Source organism: Homo sapiens, chromosome X, assembly GCF_000001405.40.
Source record: "Homo sapiens chromosome X, GRCh38.p14 Primary Assembly".
NCBI classification, from domain to species: domain Eukaryota; kingdom Metazoa; phylum Chordata; class Mammalia; order Primates; family Hominidae; genus Homo; species Homo sapiens.
In genome coordinates this window covers 107,851,572-107,871,994 of record NC_000023.11, presented here as the reverse complement: position 1 = coordinate 107,871,994, position 20,423 = coordinate 107,851,572, and the positions used below count along the sequence as shown (strand labels likewise).

The following is a 20,423-nucleotide window of genomic DNA, read 5'->3' as shown; positions in this document are numbered from 1 at the left end:
GTCTCTGGCAAAGGTCTTGCCCTCAAGCCTGGAACCGTGTCCCAAAGTGAGAACACGCATTCCTATTTTCCCGCTTGAAAGCTGCCTTTTCCAAAACCACCCATACCCCACCCTGCTCCCCATCCTGTGCCCATAAAAACCCCAGGGTTCACCAGCAGAGAGAAGAGGAGAAGCAGCTGGACATTGGGGACTATGGTTGGAAGTTGGAAAGAAGCAGCTTGACTTCAGAGGGACGGCTTTACGGTGTTGCTTCGAAGAGGAGTCCAGCTGGGGACAGCTAGACTCTGGGGGAAAATGATCATCCTGCTCTGTCCCCTTTCCAGCTCCCCTTCCTGCTGAGAGCCACTTTCATTGGCAATAAAATCCCCCACATTGACCATCTCCAATTTGTTCATGCGACCTCATTCCTCTTGGATGTTGAACAAGAACTCAAGTGCAAGTGCAAAAGGCCGTCACACTGACCCTCCACTGAGCTGTTAACACTTAAGCCATTCATGGACAGCAAAGCTAAAAGAGCACTGACTGTAACACTCTTTCTGGAGCTTCAGGAGATATGGACACCCCCCTAGATGCTGCTGTGGGGAAGCACAGTTTCGCTCCTGCCAGCACCCAAAAGCGCTTGCCCCAGCTCCTTCACCTGCTCACCTGCGCTCCCCCTCCTGCAAGGCGTGGAACACGGTGGGGCCAAGCAAGTGGAGTCTGCCCCTGCTGGCACTGAAGTGGCTGACTAGTTCTAGCACCCGTGCACTCCAGTTCCTGCCAGCAAAGGGGTCAGGGAAATTTTCTGCTTGAATACTCCTAAATAACCTTGTAATCAAAGAGGAAAATGAAACTAAAGTTGTTAATTTTATAGAAAATAATGAAAGAGCACACACTAAATACCAAAATATACGGGATACAGTTAAACCTCTACTCAGGAAAATATATAAAAATGGAAAATACAGGAATTCACTCAATTTAAGAAACTGGAAAAGGACAAAAAAATGAAAGTAAATAGAAGGAGGAAATTCACTTTTAAAAAGCTCAAACTAATAAAATCAAAATGAAACTAACTTACAAGGGATAATTAACAGATAATTAACATCAAAAGCTGCTTCTTTGAAATTACTTATTAAGGAAAAAGGGAGAAAATAAAACAAAAATACAATACTAACAATGGAAAAGGAGATACACTTATAGATATAGACAATAGTATGCTGATAACCATTTAACAATTGGCTCTCAAAAAAAAAAAAAAAAAAGCCGCAATTTGTAGTGCTTGCTGATTTCCATGGCGTGAAAACTTACACTTTAGTGGATTTTAAGCTACCAATGTATAGACACCAAACCAAAATATGGGAAAAATGCACACAATTGGAAAGTCAGCACCAGCACACCATTGGAGAGATATTAATTATAAGGGACTATCATATGCAATGTATACCACATGATTTTAAAATCTATTAAATGCTTTTACCCAAGAAGGAGTAACAAAACCTCAAGAATCTAATAACTTTAGACCAGATTGGAAGGGTGATTAACAATCTGTAATTTTTTTAAGGCTCCAGGCCTAGATGGTTTTAGAGCTGAGTTCCATAAACTTTGAAAGAACAAATCATTCTCACACAACTTAAACTATTTAAGACCACAGAGAAAGACAAAAAGGTCTCAAATGCATTTACTAGATCTAGTATAATTCCACAATATCAGAAACCTAAAAATGATATCAGAAATAGTAAGGCTATAGATTGATTTCAGTTCTGAATATATAGAGAAAAATGTTTAACAAAAGCAGCAGGGCAACAAAAGAATAAAATACCATAACCAAACACTTTTTATTCCAAATATAAAAGAATGATTCAAGATTAGAAAAAATCAACATATAGGGTTATATTAATATATTCTAAAAGGTTTTTAAACAAAATCAGTAGCCAGTCCAAGTGAAAATTCTAAATAAAACAGCATTCAAATATAATAAATAGCAAACTTCATACTAAATGGTGAAATGCTAAGGCCCTTTCCAGTAACATTATGAACAAGGCAAGGATGTCTGATATCACCATAGTGTTTTAAATGTTTTAGCTGAGGCAAAAGAAAGTTAGAACATGAAATAATTGGTATAAATATTGGTAAAGGAGATATAAGTGCCTCAGATAAACCCGAGACTCTAGGTTTTTTTTTTAAATATAAGGTTGCCAATATGGTAAGATTGTAATACACAAGAAAATATATAAAATCAAAAGCTTTTCTCCATATGCTTTTAAAAATGGAAATAGAAAAGTAACCCATTCACAGCACGGACAAGAGTACAAAGTACTTAGGAATCAACAACAACAAAAAAATGTACTGTACCTATTTGAAGAAAACAACTAAATATTAAAGAGACGGTCCCAAAAATAAAACCTGAAAAAATGCAAAGATATACCGTGATTCTGGATAGGAAGACATATCATAGGAATGTCTTTCTTCTAAAAACTAATACACAACTGTAATATAGTGATAATCACAATCCAAACTGAGTATATTTTGTAACTATACAAAATTATTTAAAAGTTCATATGGAGACACAAATATGTAAAAATATGGAGAAACAAATATCTAAGAATAGTAAGGAAATATCAGATATTACCAAAAAGTCAGTATAATCAAAATAGTAAGGTATTGGCGTAAGAATGGAAAATTAAATCAATGGAACAGAATAGAGTCTAGAATAGAAGCAAGTACATATGGAAATCCAATATATGGCAATGGTAGCATATCCACTCAACAGGAAAAGGACTGTTCTTTTAATAAATGGGCTTAGCATAATAGTTATCTATCTGAAAGGAAACACAACTACATGCCCTAAAATACATTTCAAAATCTCATATTCTAAAACAAATTCCAGGTACATTAAAGACTTAAAATATAAAAAATAAAACCACCGAAAATATGAAAAGAAAGTTTGAGGAGGGGGAGACCTTTCACAAGCCAGAAAAACCAGAAGCCATACAGAAAATAAAGACAAAAGACAAACTGGGGGGAAAATATCACAACACGTGACAGGTAAAAAGTTAATAATATATATTATCTCTATCTAATCTATATCTATGTCCTTTTCCTCACCTAATCAACTTTTCCTGGCCAAATTCATTCATTTTCATGGTTTTAAGTGTGACCTATATGCTAATCATGGAAGCATAGATTGATCCCCCTTAAATTTGTGGTGTCCAACTTCAAGCAGGCTCTCAAAGTTTCTTATTAATTCTGTGTTTCTCTTAACAGCTCTCTCTATATCTCCACAGCAGCGATCTCTACCATCCACAAAGCTTCAACCCTACTACCTCCCTTCTCACTCATAGTAAAATCGTAGTAAATGATTTTACTTCCTTTGTCACAGAGAAAATAAAATTTATCCCAGGGAATTATTTTAAATTCTCACAAAACAATAAGGAAACAATCATCTTTCCTTTCTCCTATTACAAAGAAGTGATATATCTCTCTAGAAAGTTCATCAGTCCTCTCCTAGAGGCTTTGCATTCCATCCTCTTCTAGCTTCTTGGGGTCCTCATTTGATTAATCTTCTTCCCTTTCCTTCAGCCAACCTCTCTTCTGGTTCCACTCCTTCCCATTGACATTTCAAGATATTTAAGTCTTTCAAATCATTATTTAAAAGATCATCTATTCACTTCTTCTGAAAATACTTTCTTCTTTCAGCTTCCATGAGACAAATTTTCCTAGTTTTCCTGCTGATCATTCCAACTCCTTTGTCTGTCCCTTAAATGTCAGCATTCTGAGAGTTCTAGCACACTGACTTAGGTGACCTCATCCATTTCTAAGGCTTCAGTTACTCTCTACATGCCAGTACCTTGCTTAACTTTTTTAATTTTAAGAGCTTTATTGATATATAATGTATATGCCACAAAATTCACCCATTTTAAGTGGGTAACTCAATAATTTTAGTAAATTTACAGAATTTTGTAACCATTACCACAATCCAATTTTAGAACAATTCCATCACCTCAAAAAGATCTCCATTTGCCTTAATTATATTTATGTCTATCCTAAGTCTCTCTCCTGAAATTTAGACCTATATAACTAACTGCTTACTGGACATTTCATTTGCATAACTACAGGCACTACAAACTCAGTGTTTCCAAACTGAACTCGTCTCTTTCCTACATCCTGTTCCATTAAATCTGATTCTTCTCTAATGTTCCCTAAATGAATGAAGGGTATCACCAGCTCCTCAGAAACCCAGGGCTTCATTCTTAACTTCTCTTTCTTATTCCCCACATCCAGTTAATCATCACATCCCCTATATTTACCTCATAAATATAATTCAAATCTATCCTTTTCTATCATCTTCCCTTATATTTCACTAGATCTGTCCACCAAAATCTCTTCCCTGAATTCATATATCCATCCAACAAATATACATTGAGTGCCTACTATGTGCCAAGCACAATGCTACTACAGTCTCCTAATTGGCCCCTCTGTCTCCAATCATTTATTTTCCCAATGTGTACTTAACCCAGCAGAGGGGCAGTATAAACTTTTTAAAAAACACACTACAGGCCGGGCGCGGTGGCTCATGCCTGTAACTCCAGCACTTTGGGAGGCCGAGGTGGGCGGATCACAAGGTCAGGAGATCGAGACCATCCTGGCCAACAAGGTGAAACCCCGTCTCTACTAAAAATACAAAAAAAAAAAAAAAAATTAGCTGGGCGTGGCGGCACATGCCTGTAATCCCAGCTACTTGGGAGGCTGAGGCAGGAGAATCTCTTGAACCTGGGAGGTGGAGGTTGCAGTGAGCCGAGATCTCACCACTGAACTCCAGCCTGGAGACAAAGGGAGACTCCGTCTCAAAACAAAACAAAACAAAAACAAAAAACAAAAAACACTACACCCGTGCTTAAAATGGCTTCATACTAAATTTCAATTGGCTTCCCTTTGACCTTAGAATAAATGCCAAACTTCTTAGCATGGCTTTTAATGTCCTCTGTAATCAGGTCCCTCCATGCCTCTCTAGTCTCATTTCTACACTCCCCTTGGATAAATCATTTAGCTATCTGAGTTTCCTCATCTGAAAAATGGGGATAATAATAGTGCCTGTCTCAGAGGTAACTGAGAAGATTAAATGAGATAATACATGTAAAGCACTTGGCATGACACCTGGAGCACATTAAGTGTTAATAAACAATAGATGTTAATGATGGTAATGATGTTAGCCTTCTTCCATCTCCCTCTCCCCCGAACTACTACAGCACTTACAGTTATTGTCACACAGTTTAAATTATTTTATATTGCTTGGCAATGCTTCATACTGTTAGCTCTGCTTTCTCAACTAGACTATAAAGTCCTTGAAGACAGGGATAGAGACTTAATACACCTGCTACTATATTCCTCTGTATCACATAACACTATGCTAAACCCACAGTGGAGCTTAATATTTTTTATAAAGGTCCACTTAGGAACACCATTTGCTTTCAACTTCTGAGCTAATGATGTGTCACTGGGTTAGCATGGGGTTTGGCAGTACTCACTGTAGGTCAGTGTTGTGTGTGTGTGTGTGTGTGTGTGTGTGTGTGTGTGTGTGTGTGTGTGTGTGTGTTTTCAGTGGCTTTGCTGCTGATATCCTGTTTTTGACAGAAATGGAGTACGAAAGCATGAAGGTGTTTAATTTTGCTCTCTGGCCTGCAGACAATATGCAATTTGCGTATTCATCTGTGATATATTTTTACTTCTTAAATGTAAGTGTTCTCTGTGAGCTACCAATATAATATAAATTCCATTTCATTCTAAAGCCAATGGAATCCTCCTGAAATGGTTTGAATTTCTTGACTGTTGAGTGGGTGGCAATTGGAATCCCAGAATATCCCCAGGGTGCTAGAAGATTCAAAGCTCTTCAGATGCTAGAACACACCACAAATTTGGCAGGAGTTTCATTATATGTGCACTATAGAGTAAACTGGCATCGTGTAATTGTTTCTCCTTCCTTTTCACATAGCATTGTTATCCTTCCCTGCCTAGGTCACTCACCCTCTTCTCTAATCCTCCTCGTGTCCTGGGCTTTCCCCTGTACCTGAGATTTTTCTAATAAGACATCTTTGGACATTCGTAAACCTGCCATTCTATGCCAGTGCAAAACTACCCATATATAGATTGGGATGAGGGAGCTCAGGATGGAACTATGTTGTTCTATGCGACTAGCACTGGTGCTATACACTTTTAGCTAGAGTTTTATTGGTTTAGAAATTATTCCAAAGCCAGTGATTGTTTTGTGCCTTTGATGTTACTAAGGAGAAGCTGGAACAGGCTTGGGATATGGAGAAGAGGAGGAAAACCTTCTCTCAAGGAAAGAGTCAATGTTTCTCATTAAAGAAAACAAAAGGCAACATCCTCCAGTTGTGTCCCAGTTTCTCCCCTTATATGGGGAAAACATCAAAGGACTGAAAAGAACCCTTTGGGGTGGGCGGGGAGGGAAACAGGTCAAAGCAATCCTCATGACCCAGTTTAAACACTAATTCTCTCACTGGGCATATATCCTTTTTTCCACATATATCCTCTTTACACATACAACCCCCTCCCCAGACACACATAAGAGATGAACAGCCAGGCACAGCCATCTATGAAATAGATAGACAGATGCATAGCACGTGCAGAGGCATTATGATGCATGCTCTGGAGAGATTATCATCACAAAGAAAGGCTTGCCCAAATATTGCTCTAGTATCACACCACATCATTCCCACATGGGCACACGCTCACATAATACTGGTTTTCTGGTTTTCTGTCCTTACCCAGACCATAAGCACAATAATCAGCGACTTGCAAAACACTGCACATGGAGCCATGGGTTGTTAGTTTTGCCCATCTTTTTTAATACAGCATAGTCATTAAGAGCAAGGACCTCAGTAAAATTGGATGCAAACTCTTAATTTGCCACCTGTGATTTTATACAAATAAGTTACCCCTGTGTGCTTCAGTTACCCCATCTGTAAAATGAGAATGAGAATCATATGTACTTCATTGGGTTATTGTGTGGATTAAATGAGCTAATGTATTTAAAGCTCTTAGGAATAATTAAGAGTTCTTAGGACTGGCTGAGATAGGGTAAACTTGGATTCAAGATTTGATTTAGGTGAGAGGAGAGGTAGTGAGAATAGACAGAGGCATTGGATTCTCTTTCTGTCTTGAGGTAGTAAATAGCTGATTTCCTGGCTGTATGTGTACTTCTAAGTAATCATTCCATCAAAAGACACCATTAATAATAGCAATGCATTCACTCTTTTTTGAGGAAATCTATATATTTGCAGTCATTGTGGTATTATATTTGTTATTTATATCCTGTTTTAAATGTGCAAACATTAATTATACTTTTGAGAGTACATCTTTACTGTCAAACTCTTAGTAACTGTTAAGAAACCCTGTGTCTCATGGAGACTACTTTTACCCTGAAACATGGTCATGTACAGCCCTAGAATGAGGACCCATCCCGGCAGTCTCAGCAAGAAAATATGGGTCCCAGCGTAAACTCTATGGCTGAGGACAGTGTTGATACCTGGAGCTGCCCACACTATTTCCACCCCTCATGGCACAAAAATAATCTGAGCAAGTAAATGCCTAATTGTGGGTATTATTGCTTCCTTCTGCCAACTCTAGGCAACTCCCTCTCCTCTGTACCCCATGAAGGGCTGTCAGAATATGGAGAGCTGCTCTGGGCTATTAAAGGTAGGCCAATGGCAGGAGTACATAAGAGGCTTACCACAGATTCAGGAACGCCAGGCCCCCAAACAGACCATATGTTTTTCTAGAGCTAGAGCTATTTAGTGGAGAAAAACAAAGGGTTTTCTGGAGCTGCCTCCTACCTATCTGAGCACAAATGAATCGGTGGCAAGTAAACCAACAACTTCTCCACTAGGCTGCACAATGCAATGGAAAGAACATAGACTTTGGAGTGAGAGAAATGTAGAACTGCATCCCAGCTTACTTATGTGTGACCTTGAGTAAGGCATCTAATATCTCTGGCCTTCAAGTTCCTCACTTGAAAAATGGGAATATTAACCAGCTGTATCACAGGATTGTCATAAACACTAAGTGAGATTAGAAATGATGTCTCTAGCACAGTGCCCAGAACAAATTATTCAAGTAAGATTCTCTTCCTCCCAATCCTTGCTTACCGTACCACAGAGCTGGACTCCTCTAGACAGGCAGAGACAGTAAGGACATCTCAATGGCTGTGTGCCTATCTGCTGTGGTGATAGTTGTTTTGGTTTCAAGTCTGGGTTTTTAAAACATTTGTTTAGTTTTAGTTGGGTTGATGGCAGGAGAGATTAGAGGTAAAAGTGGAACTAGAAACATTTCAAGGTATAGGATAAGCTTGATAGAGCCTTAGCTGAATTATTAAGATTCCATTAACTTTCCAAGAGCACACTGGAAATGGGGAATTTGGGTGGATTGTGAAAATAGTGGAGCAAACAAGAGGAGCCAAAATTAAGCAAGTCTTCTGGTCATTTAGTGAGTGACCTGGAATTTGAACACAGAAATGAGAACTAGAGGAGGGATGGGAAACGGGACTGTAAGATAAGCTTCACTGTGCCAAAGGAAAAGTGCAAAAGTGGGATGAAAGTGCATTCCTATGTGAACTGTTTCGGCTATGAAGACATGACCACACCTGAAAGCTTACCTGCCCTATAGATGTGAGGGAGGAGGGCGAGGAAAACAATATTAATCCTAACTAATTTTATCCTTAAACCCTGTCATGTGTTAATACCCTCCAAGTATTTCAACTGCAACATTTAATGTCTTCAAAAATGTTACTTTACTGACATAAATGAAGAATTGTCACAAAGTATTTTTTAAAAAGGATTGAATGCATTAGGTCTCTGAAAAATTATAAAGCACTTTCTTTTCTAGTATAAAAATAGGCTATGACCACACACTGGATTGCACAGTTAACTTAGGTTTTTCATCTATATTAAATGTCAATCGTTATATTCTTAATAAGATTGAATGTAATACTCTGAATTAGTCACTACAGTAGTATAAATGAATAGATTGACTGGATCACTGAACTTATTTTCCATTTTTCATGGAAACAATTTTCTCCATCTATAATTCCACAGTGGTTTCAAACTAGGTATTTCATTTTCACAAGACACTAGCAGTTCAAATCTTTCTCAGGAGCTCTTAAGTCTGCTCCCCTTGCTCTTCCATCTCTAACAAAAATATTCACAGAACATTTTTGCTAATAAACATTTTAAATCGCAAATACAAAATTATAGAACTCTCTCTTTTTAAAATTACTAGAGATGAAAGCATGTGACCCTCCCTAAAACTTTTCTTTTGGCTTTGCTTAAAGGCAGTAATCAAGAAGAATTTGGGCAGGATAATGGGCAAATTTACTTAAGTATCAACACGAAGAATCTTTTGGATATTCTTGCAGAAGGGCAGTAAATGTTTCCTTACTAAATAAAATTTGTTTAAATTAGTAACTGCAAACTAGCAGCTTATTGAGCACAATAACCCTTTTTAGTCTATCACATCTGCAGAGTTACTGGTGGGCTAGGTGGAGTCACATGGCCAAGGTACCCAATATTTTTGCTGCTGCAATTTCATTACCACTCCCTCTTCCCAAGAAAAGTTTTAGTTGATATATGTAAAATTTGAAATTGGTTATGAGTATTTGGGAATGATTGTTCTCCCCACTCTCAGAGATAGTGATAAAAAGCTTTGGAAGTCCTGAGGTCAGGGCTAGGAATCTCTGGCAAAATGTGTAGTGCCCAAAATTACTACTACTAGTACTACTGCTACTAGCAACTGTTCCTGCTATTACACCTCCTCTTCCTCTTTCTCCTTCTTTCCCTCCTCCTCCTCCTCCTGCTACTATGACTAGTATTACCACCACCACCGTTTATTGAGCTTTGACTATATATGCCAGGCACAGTAGCAGGTACTTTACATGTATTGCCTTTCTCTTCAATGTATTATTAGTCCAAGTTTTATAGATGGTGAAACTGAGGCTCAGAAAAAGTATGTGTTCAAGGTTGCACAGCTAACATGACTCCTGTCTGTCCAACTCCAAAGCTGTCACAGCACACTGCCTCCCAGGACGTACATACCATTTTTAGGACAGGCAAGTTGTAGAAACTAAGGCTACAGTGTCCTGGGTTGGAGATAAAGCTGGACACCAAGTCAGGGAGGGAAGGGAAGCATATGTGGATGAACGCAGTGGATCTAGTGATTCCTACTGTTAACTCACCAGTAGCAGAATAATACACAAACAGAGCATTTATGAGTCTGACTTTTCTGCTCTTCGAAAGGATAATAACTACCACCTTATTTCTTGCTTCACCTTCGTGATCAAACTTCTTGCAACCTGCATTTCCTTTTGTTTGTTTGTTTGTCTGTTTTGAGACAGAGTTTCCCTCTTGTCGTCCAGGCTGGAGGGCAATGGCACGATCTCGGCTCACTGCAACCTCCACCTCCTGGGTTCAAGCAATTCTCCTGCCTCAGCCCCTTGAGTAGCTGGGATTACATGTGTCTACCACCACACCTGGCAAATTTTTGTATTTTTTGTAGAGATGGGGTTTCACCATGTTGGCCAGGCTGGTCTTGACCTCCAGACCCCAGGTGATCCACCCACCTCAGCCTCCCAAAGTGCTGGGATTACAGGCATGAGTCACCGCGCCCAGCCCTGCATTTCCTTATAACTTACTTTCTTCCTGACCTCTTTGAATTTATGTTCCATCTTCATATTTGCGTAGAACCTTCTCCCTCAAAGATGACTAATGAAATCTTCTATGCTTCTGCTCCAATTGACTCATCAAATCTTCCACATTTTGAAGGCCTCTCCTTCCTCTGAGATTTTGATCCTCTGTTTTTGTTGGTTTTCCTCGTCTCTTGACTGCTCTTTGTTTCTCCTTTGCTGTCCTTCAGAATTCACATCCCTATCCCATACCCCTTGCTCACTACAAGTCATCCTCACAATGGGTCCAGGAACCACCCATGATTAACAAGAGACATCCAAGTGGCGTGTACCTTGGTCTTGCAAAACAACGCGTAATGGAGTGGTCAGGGGCACAGGCTCCAGAGCTAAAGTGCCTGTATTCAAATCCCCACTCTCTTACCTACCAGTGGCATGAACTTGGCAAAACACTTAAATATTTCTTTGTCTCTGTTTATCTGTAAAGTAGGGGTATTAACAGTGTCTATCTCACAGAGCTGTTGTGAGAATTAAATGAGTTAACACATATTAAGCACTCAGCTGGAACAGAGGAAATCCTCAGTAAGTGTTACTTATTATTGTAGTCTTTAAGATAATAATACCCTAAACCTTTGATTTTTTTCCACAAATGAATAATTTACTTTGATATTTAATTTTCAAAATGCACAGCATTCTTCAGTAATCTCCTCAAAAGCAACACCGTCTTTCTATTTATTTTTGGAAAGTCAGTTTGTTATTGTATTGTGAGTGACAAACAATTGGGCTGGAGATTTGTCACAGGCCCTCTTTTCAATCTATACATTCTCCATGGCTTTAAGTGCTACTTAGATGCTAATGACTTCCAAGTATATCCCTTTCCCAGACCTCTCTCTTGACCTCTAAATCCAGCTAGCCAACTTTCTACTGGACATTTCCTACCTGCCTTTCTGACCCAGAGAACAATAAACCTTGCAGGTCTAAAAAGAACTCCTTTTATATTTCTTAACCTAGTTAAAGGCCATAGACCTATTTGGTCACCTAAACCAGAACCCTGTGGATCATCATAGTATTTCTTCTCCCTCACTCCTTCACCCATTAACTGATCACCAATTAATACTGATCCACCTCCTAGAAATGTTTTGAATGTATCCCTTCTTCCCTAATCCTACTGCCACTGTCTCAAGCTGGGCCTTCATCTCTCCCTGGATCAGTAAAAATCTAACTGGTCTCTTTGTCCTCACTTTTTACCCTGGACCCTTGACCTTTGCTCCATACTCCATACTACAGCCATAGCAATCCTTCTTAAATACAGATTTTATTCAGTTATTCACCTGCTTAAAATCCTTCCATGGCTCCCCAGACTTCTCAGGTTAAAGTCTAAACACCTATACATGGCCTACAAGGCTCTTTATTATTTGGGCCCAAGCTACTCACTTCTCCATACTCACCTCTTGCAATCTCATGTCTTACATTCTGGCCAAGCCAAACTTCTGATAGTTCCCTGAACGTCTCCATGCTGATCACCCTTCTGTGTTCTCACATGTGGTCCCCTTCACTCCCTTATCTCATTTTTATTGGCAAAATTCTACTCTTATTTCAAGATAACTCATTTTTTTTCCATTCTGCAGCCTTTCCTAAGTTTCTCAGGCAGGCCTGAGTGTTTCCTCCTCCATGCTAACTTGTCATCACGCATTTACATTCATTACAGTAATTATCACTTCACATTCTATTTGCCATTTTACCTGTCAGGTTCTCAGCCAGTCTGTGTGTTCCTTGAGGGCAGGTGCCATTTCCTATTTATCTGTATACACCCAGTGCTTAAGGCACCATTTTCCCCATAAAATGTGCTCATTTACACCTCCACTAATACCTCTGCTTTCTGTCTCTCCAGAGGGAGTAATTTTTTTTCTCCTTCAACATTTGGCTAAAATGCATTTTCTCCATTAAATTTTCCAATTATACTAATTTCACTGACTGCTCCTTAAAGAGGGCTCCACCAACAAATGTATTTGTGCTCTAATGGTTTAAATTCTATTCTTTCTTCTAGCTCAACCACCCAAAAATATTTAAGGATCATCTGCTGAAATCATCCATAGCAGTGTTTTTTAAATTAATTTATTTTAAAATATTTATATTTTATGCTTGGAGAAGCAGCCAGACATCTATTACATAGACTCCAAGATTCTTGCCCTTCCCAAACTAAATATCCTTCCAATGGGCAATACGAGCAGAAAGAAGAAAATACCAGCCCATCTGAAGTTTGAACTCTAAAGAGAGAGACTTCCAAAAGTGAATGAAGCTAAGACCTAGTAGCAAGACAGAAAGCTGAAATTCCCCAGACTAAGGGAAACCTCTCCCTCTCTTCCAACTCATCTCCTTTCTTTCTTCTTTCTCCTAATGCTAAAGAGCAGTGCCGTCCAGCTCTTTAAAAGGATTGAGAAGAGCCAGAAGGAAATCAACCTGCCCATGGAGCTTCTGGGATGGATTAAGCCATTGTATCACAGCAGTTCTGGAAAGAAGAAAAAGGTGGCACACAAAATATACAGGAAAGTGTTTTAATTTACTCAGTGCCCTAAAAGCTAAGAACAAGACTAAATAAGTAAAATTGAAAGGGCTATACTACATTCATTTGTATTTTCTGCACTGCATGCTGCTCTATAAATACTCTTTCTCACTATATACTGTTTTCCCTAACTAGACTGAAAGTTCCTGGAGGTCATCAACCACATATATTTCTTTTGTAGCCCCCAAATCGCCCACCACAGAGTACACAGCGTATGCTCAATAAATGCTGTTGACCAACTGATTACTAAGTATTTAACTATATTTGCCCCTCGCTATGTTTTAGAATGCCTATTATTCACAGAACCATGGAGTATTGGAAGCGAAGAGGAAGTATTCATCTGTTGGTATACATTTTCCCTTGGCTATGCATTATACAGAGGTTTCCTTTGGAAATGTAAACAAAGGATGCCTGATGAGCCAGGACAAAGAACTATATATAGAGATCAAGTGGTTATCATAGCAAGGTCAAAGCATGCCCTTCCTTAATTAGATTAAAGGGAGTCTTGGAGCTGCCTCTACCTCCTTCCCATGCTCTCCAGCCGCAGCAGAAAACATTTTCCAACCACCCATCTACTGAATTCTGAAACCTTCAGCAGCAATTATAACAAGCTACATTACCATAGAAGTCAGCTAACAAATCTGTAGTGATCTTAATCTCTGTTTCTGTTATAATAGGAAGACTGCAGCTTTGTTTACTTTCTGAGGAGAATAGAGAACAGGGAGAAAGAACCATGATAGGGAGGCAGTATTTATGGCCCTTTTATGAAAAGGCAATTTGTGACAAAAACATTTACAGACAATAAAGAAGGGGAACAGGTTTGACAGGAAAATACCCTATTCCAGTTTTCTCAGAAGCGCCTTAGCTGGTATCCTCCGCCCCCGCCGAATGTGAAATGCCTGGTATACACTGTGAATATAGTCATTCCCTATAGATGAATCTGGATTACATATAATGAAAAAATTCCAAATCACCCATCAGTGTCTTACTTTCATGACTGACAGTATTCTACTATACATTTCATTTTCTACTGTATTTTTAAGCATTTATGAAGTCTCAAGTCCCTCCATTAACTAGATTTCTAATCCTGAGGTTTGTCCTGAAGGCTTTTGGAGAGACAGGCTCTGTGTTGAATGAGGATAATAAGTAACCTGGATTCACCGTTGTTATTATTAAGAGGAAGTTGGCCGGGCCCGGTGGCTCACGCCTGTAATCCTAGCACTTTGGGAGGCCAAGGCGGGTGGATTGCCTGAGCTCAGGAGTTCAAGACCAGCCTGGGCAACACGGTGAAACCGCGTCTCTACTAAAATACAAGAAATTAGGCGGGCATGGTGGCGTGTGCCTGTAATCCCAGCTAGTCGGGAGGCTGAGACGGGAGAATCACTTGAACCTAGGAGGCAGAGGTTGCAGTGAGCCGAGATTGTGCCACTGCACTCTAGCCTGGGCAACAGAGCGAGATTCCATCTCAAAAAAAAAAAAAAAAAGAGGAAGTTAAGGGCACATCCCTAACCTTTCAGAATGGATGATGTCATAGAAGACAGAAATGGCCTTCCATAAGCCATCCTGTAGGGTCCCTGTCATCAAAGACAGAATCCTAAACCCAATAGACTATGAAGTTAAATCCCAAAATACATTCTCACTCTCAACAATATCTCACTATTCTTTCCCAGTTCTCAATTAATGTTTATATTCAATTGTCTGTATTTCTTGCACATGTGTATCCACATCAGGGTGGATTTTTGCAGCATGTAAGCCCTCAGAGGGTAGATACTGTGCCTATGCTGTTTTCTTTATACCTGGTACAATGCCAGGCATAAAAAAGGATTAGTAAAAGCAGACCTTTTGTGTATCCAGAGCCGACAGTGGCTTACATGATCGGATTTAGCAAGCATCCATAAAAGAACACTTCTTGAATATCTACTGTATGGGCTACTCTTTCCCCTTACTCTATTTGCATGTGGCAGCACTAGTGTCACCTCATTAAGACTCAGGCAAGAATACTAACTTCAGGACGGAACTGTTAAAACACTGCTTGTTACCTAAAAAGCCAAAGTGGTTCCTTCCCTATTAACACAATGATGGATAGTTTTATGAGACTTGTCACTTAAAAAGAGTAGGGCCCTGAACATAAAGGTTTGATTGGCAGGATGGGCTGGGAAAGGTTGGAACAGGCTATGTTTGGGTGAGGCTGGCCAGGGTCATAAGCTCTTCAGAGTGGCAAGATGAGACCTTAGAGAGGTCCTAAAGTGAATGAGCTATAAAAATAAACTGCTTACTTTGCTATTTTCACTACAACTTGTTCTGTACTTAATAGTCTTTTTGATGAGAACAAGGAAGGTGATTATAATTTCTAACCACATTTTATTCACTATTAGCTGTTACTCTATATTCAATCATGCAAATTCTAAATCAAGGGATCTCTTATCTTGTCTCCTGCTTACAATACTCCCTTGTCCCTTTGCCAGTGTGGATGTCTTATACTGTAATCTAACAGCATAATGAGAAACTTTGACAGAGTGGAACATTAGAGGGATTCTGATTAGCTGAAAGCCACTTTGAAATACTTTATATTTTGTTTCTCCCTTCTTGGAAAGAATAAGCCAGGAGAGAAAAAGAATAGAATAAAGAAAGTTACCATTCACAGCATCATGACCTGTGATACCTAGAAAGAAGTCGAAGGTCATGTTATCAGTTCAACTCTTCATTTTATAGGTAAGAACACTGAAACTGAGAAGCTAAATGACTTAGATTCATACCACCACTTCATGGAAGAGCCAAGTCTAGAGCACAGTTTTCCAAATCACACTCTAGTGCTCTTTCTTTTCATTCCTTATGCTTCTTCCCTAATCCCCCACTTCATTTTATAGTCTCATATCTGAGTTTGACCAGTACTCTATGGACCCTACGTAGAGCACCACTCTCTTCCACAAATGGAGTGCCCAGCAGGGATTAAATTTCTATGGTATGCTCATCATACAAGTACACTCTACTTGAAGAAACTCAATACTTTAAGAAATCCAAATGATTGGGGGTCAGAAGGTTACTCATATAATAAGAGGATTCTTTGCCTTACAAGAAGATTCTCCACAGTCTCTTAAATAGGAATCTATAGATTGGATTAAGAGATGAGATCTTAATAAAATTGAAATAAAATAAACTTGAACTGTTACATTTGTCTGTCATACAAGTAAGATTAGAACCAGACTATCAGGTTCTAAATAGAATTAGAAACATTTTTATCCAACCACTGCCCATGAAGAATCCTATAATATTTTACCCAACCCTGTTTACACTTGAAGCCCTACCATCAGCTCTTCAACAAAATCAACACAAAACCAAATGGTATAAGTTTCATGCTCTTGAGAAAGAGAAATAACATCTTTATTTTATTATGTCCATTTAAGAAGAGGTCAGCTCTTCCTCTAAGCTCTGCTCTAAGATTTGATGTAGATGACAATTGATTAAAACCTCACACTTTACAGCACTTTACAATTTACAACTTTAAAATAGATATGATTTGTTGATGACAAGAATAAGTGGAAAGGTAATGAGTGAGGACCAGGTGGGGTGCATGGTATAGATAGGACCATGGGCAGGGGATGAAGAGGGGGAGAGGCTCGAAAGAGGAGAAGCAGTCCTGATAATATTGTTACAGAAACAATATTGTGCTGAATTAACCTCACCTTACCCCAAGGACCCAGGATTCCCAACTTCCCTATGACACTCCAGTAATCTCTTTAAGGAGTGATAATGTCCAGTTTGATGATGGATGAAGCACACTTCATGTCTGATTTTCATATTGCCTGCTGTTTGGAAAGGAGAATAGGTTGCCCCTTGAACTATTATCCCCCCACTGTCCATCATCACCGTCTATTCTTTTTAAACCATAGGTTTCTGACACTTTTTTTGGAACAAGCATCCTAAAGGAATGAGACTTTCTAAAACTGCCATTCAATCCTTCATTCCAAATGACTAGGCTACACTCTGACAAAACTGAAGTCCTCCCAAAGGGTCACCCATTTCAGGTCCTCTGAAAAATCACAAATGTTTCTGTTACATACCTCAACCTGCTGGCAGATCTGTATTAGTTTGGCCATTTGATTTTCTAGTTCGCTGTTGCGCTTAACCAGGTTGGTGAGGTTCATCTCCAGAGTTTGCTGTCATCGCAGAGGGTATGAATCCAGAGGGGAACCGAGAAGAGGGGAAAAAAGAACCATGAGCTTGAGAACCAATGTCATGTGAAAATCGGTTAGTCAGTAGACAAATGTTTCAAAGATTCATTTAGCATCTGCCATGAGCCAAGCACTAATCTACGTACAAATTAATAATGCTGCACATTTGCTCACTATTGGGGAAAATATGACATTCATGACTTTGTGGATGTAGGAATTTATTGACATTAAAGAAACCTTATGTTTTAGATAATATCTTTAACTTTTCAAAGTATTTCATAGGCAATATCTCATTTCGCCCTCATAGTAATCCCACAGCATATGAAGAACAGATATTATTATCTCTTTTCCAGATGAGTAGACTAAGAAAACTATTACACATGTCCCTCAACTTATGATGAAGTTATGTTCCAGAGAGAGCATTTTCAACTTAAGAAATTTTCAACTTATGATGGACTTATCCAGATGTAACCCTAACATAAGTCAAGAAGCATACTGAACGCATATTACTTTCACACCACTGTCAAATTGAAAAATCGTAAGTTGAACTATGGTAAGTCAGGGACCATCTGTAATTATTGAATGATTGCCAGACACTATGCCAGGCAATTTCATATATACTATTTAAAAACCATAACAATCTCACAAAGTAGAAGATGCTAGTATTTTACAAATGGGAGTACCAAGCTTCAAAGTGGAGTTAAAGTATTTTGCACAGTCATATTACTAGCATGTGCAAAACTAGGACTGGAACCCATGTATCCAGCCCTCAGTCACAGTTTTGCTGCAGTATTCCATGACTTTTTTTGTTTTTGATTATAATATTTTATATTTATCAGTAGGGTCCTTCAGGAAAAAAAGAGTATTTTGAGTGTGGAATTCATCAAAATCTAGCATTGTATCTCACAGCTTTCCTTCTTTGGCACCGAGGCTTCACCCACAAGAGAGGCAGGGCTTCAAAATGCAAAGCCTGACTGTATCAAGAGAGGACATCAGCCAGGCACGGTGGTTCACGCCTGTAATCCCAGCACTTTGGGAGGCTGAGGTGGGCAGATCGCTTGAGCCCAGGAGTTCAAGACCAGCTTGGGCAGCACAACAAAACCACATCTCAACAAAAAATGCAAAATTTAGTTGGGCGTGGTGGCATGCACCTATAGTTCCAGTGACTCAGGAGGCTGAGGTGGGAGGATCACTTGACCCCAGGAGGCAGAGGTTGCAGTGAGCCAGGATCACACCACTGCACTCCAGCCTGGGTGACAGAGTGAGACCCTATCTCAATAAATAAATATTTTAAAAAGAGAAGATATCCATTGCATATCATCATTTACTGGTACATAGATTCTTTCAGGTACATATTAGGGGTACTTTGCAGATCTGTTGAATATAATGTTGTTACAACAGTAGCCGGAATTCTAGCATGTTTTCAGTTGAGCAAGCTACTGTTTCCCATTCGTTATGTGAAAAAGAGTATCATTTCACTCTAGATTAATCATGGGCTTTTTTATTTCTCCCCACTCCCAAGTCTTTCAGCCCTGGTAGCTGCTTTTCCTCTAAGACTCACCCCAATATCTACTTCTCTCTCACCCACTATCCCAATACCCCATAAAGTCTGTTCCAAATGTAATACCCCAACTTACTGGCCCTCATTCTGCTAGCAGTCCTTCCCTCAGTCATGTTAAGTGCTACGCTGCTATCTCCATTGTTCCTATGTTTTGTAGTTCAAAGTTCGTGCTTTTGAAAAAGTGGATGGGGGGATGTGGGGGAGAGAGGGAACATGAAGGAAAAGAAGAGATTTGTGTACTTGGCCCCTTTCTGTCTGCTAAGTACCTGTAGCTCCTTAATATCTTTGGCACTGTTCCCATGAATAGATGGATATATTCACATAGATACACGTGTTTGCAGGCTGGGTAGTGTGATTTCACATTTTCTCAAACTGGATTATGAGGACCAGCTGAACCCTTGCTACCCTTCCTGCCAGGTCTCTCTTGGCTTCCTTGGCTTTATTCCCATGGAAGTGATTTTTCACCATTTATTCTATTTTTCTTGTATTGGGGCACAATGTCTCCCCTGGCCTCCTTTAATCCCACTACCATCTCAATCTGTGGTCTTCTTGGCAAAGAAAAGGGGAAGGAAGAAGAATACAGGAAGCAATCATTGATTTGGACGTGATCTCTAAGCTAAATTGATGTCAGAGGAATAAAAAAAGTGGCAGTTCAGAAATTTAATACAAAAATGTATTGAACACCTACTCTGTTCAAGGTACAGTGACTTCACAGATAAAGAGGAAGTAAAATTAAGATGGGCCTTGAAGGATAAACAGAATTTTAATAGACAGAGATGCATGGGGGCAGGATGTTCCGGGCACAAGGAATGTAATGAGAAAAGTACAAAGAAATAAGACCATGAGCAGTGGGTGGCTCATACCTGTAATCCCAGCACTTTGGGAGACCGAGGTGGGTGGATCACCTGAGGTCAGGAGTTCAAGACCAGCCTGGCCAACATGGTGAAACCTCTTCTCTACTAAAAATATAAAATTAGCCAGGCATGGCGGTAGACACATGTAATCTCAGCTACTCGGGAGGCTGAGGCAGGAAAATCACTTGAACCGCAGAGGCGGAGGTTGCAGTGAGCCGAGATCGTACTATTGCACTCCAGCCTGGGCAAAAAGAGTGAAACTCTGTCTCAAAAAAATAATAAATAAATAAATAAATAAATAAATAAATAAATAAATAAATAAAAAGTATAAAGAAATAAAATATATGGCATATTCAGGGACTAGTAGTTTCCTTTGGCTAGAACAGAGGGTAGAAAGAGAGTAGTGGGGGACGCAGCTGGAAATGGAGACCAAAGTCCTGTTATAAAGGTCTTAAGTGCCTAGATAAGGAGTTTGTAGTTTCTTTGTTTGTTTGTTTTTGTTGTTGTTGTTGTTGTTGTTGTTGTTTGCACTGAGGACTTACCAAAAGCTGTTGAGCAAGGTAATGGCATAATCAGGGCTGCATTTAGGAGATTAACCTAGCAGCAA

At 39.3% G+C, this 20,423-nt stretch overlaps 1 protein-coding gene across 4 annotated transcripts in view; it reads right to left on the bottom strand.

Annotated features, from left to right (window-relative positions):
- The window catches only part of MID2 (midline 2), a 105,903-nt gene that overhangs the window by 59,643 nt on the left and 25,837 nt on the right, over window positions 1-20,423 (bottom strand). For all 4 annotated transcript variants that reach the window (NM_001382751.1, NM_001382752.1, NM_012216.4 and 1 more), the window contains exon 3: window positions 17,291-17,386. In NM_001382751.1, the coding sequence (NP_001369680.1) occupies window positions 17,291-17,386 (96 nt within the window). The remainder of the gene's footprint in view (window positions 1-17,290; window positions 17,387-20,423) is intronic.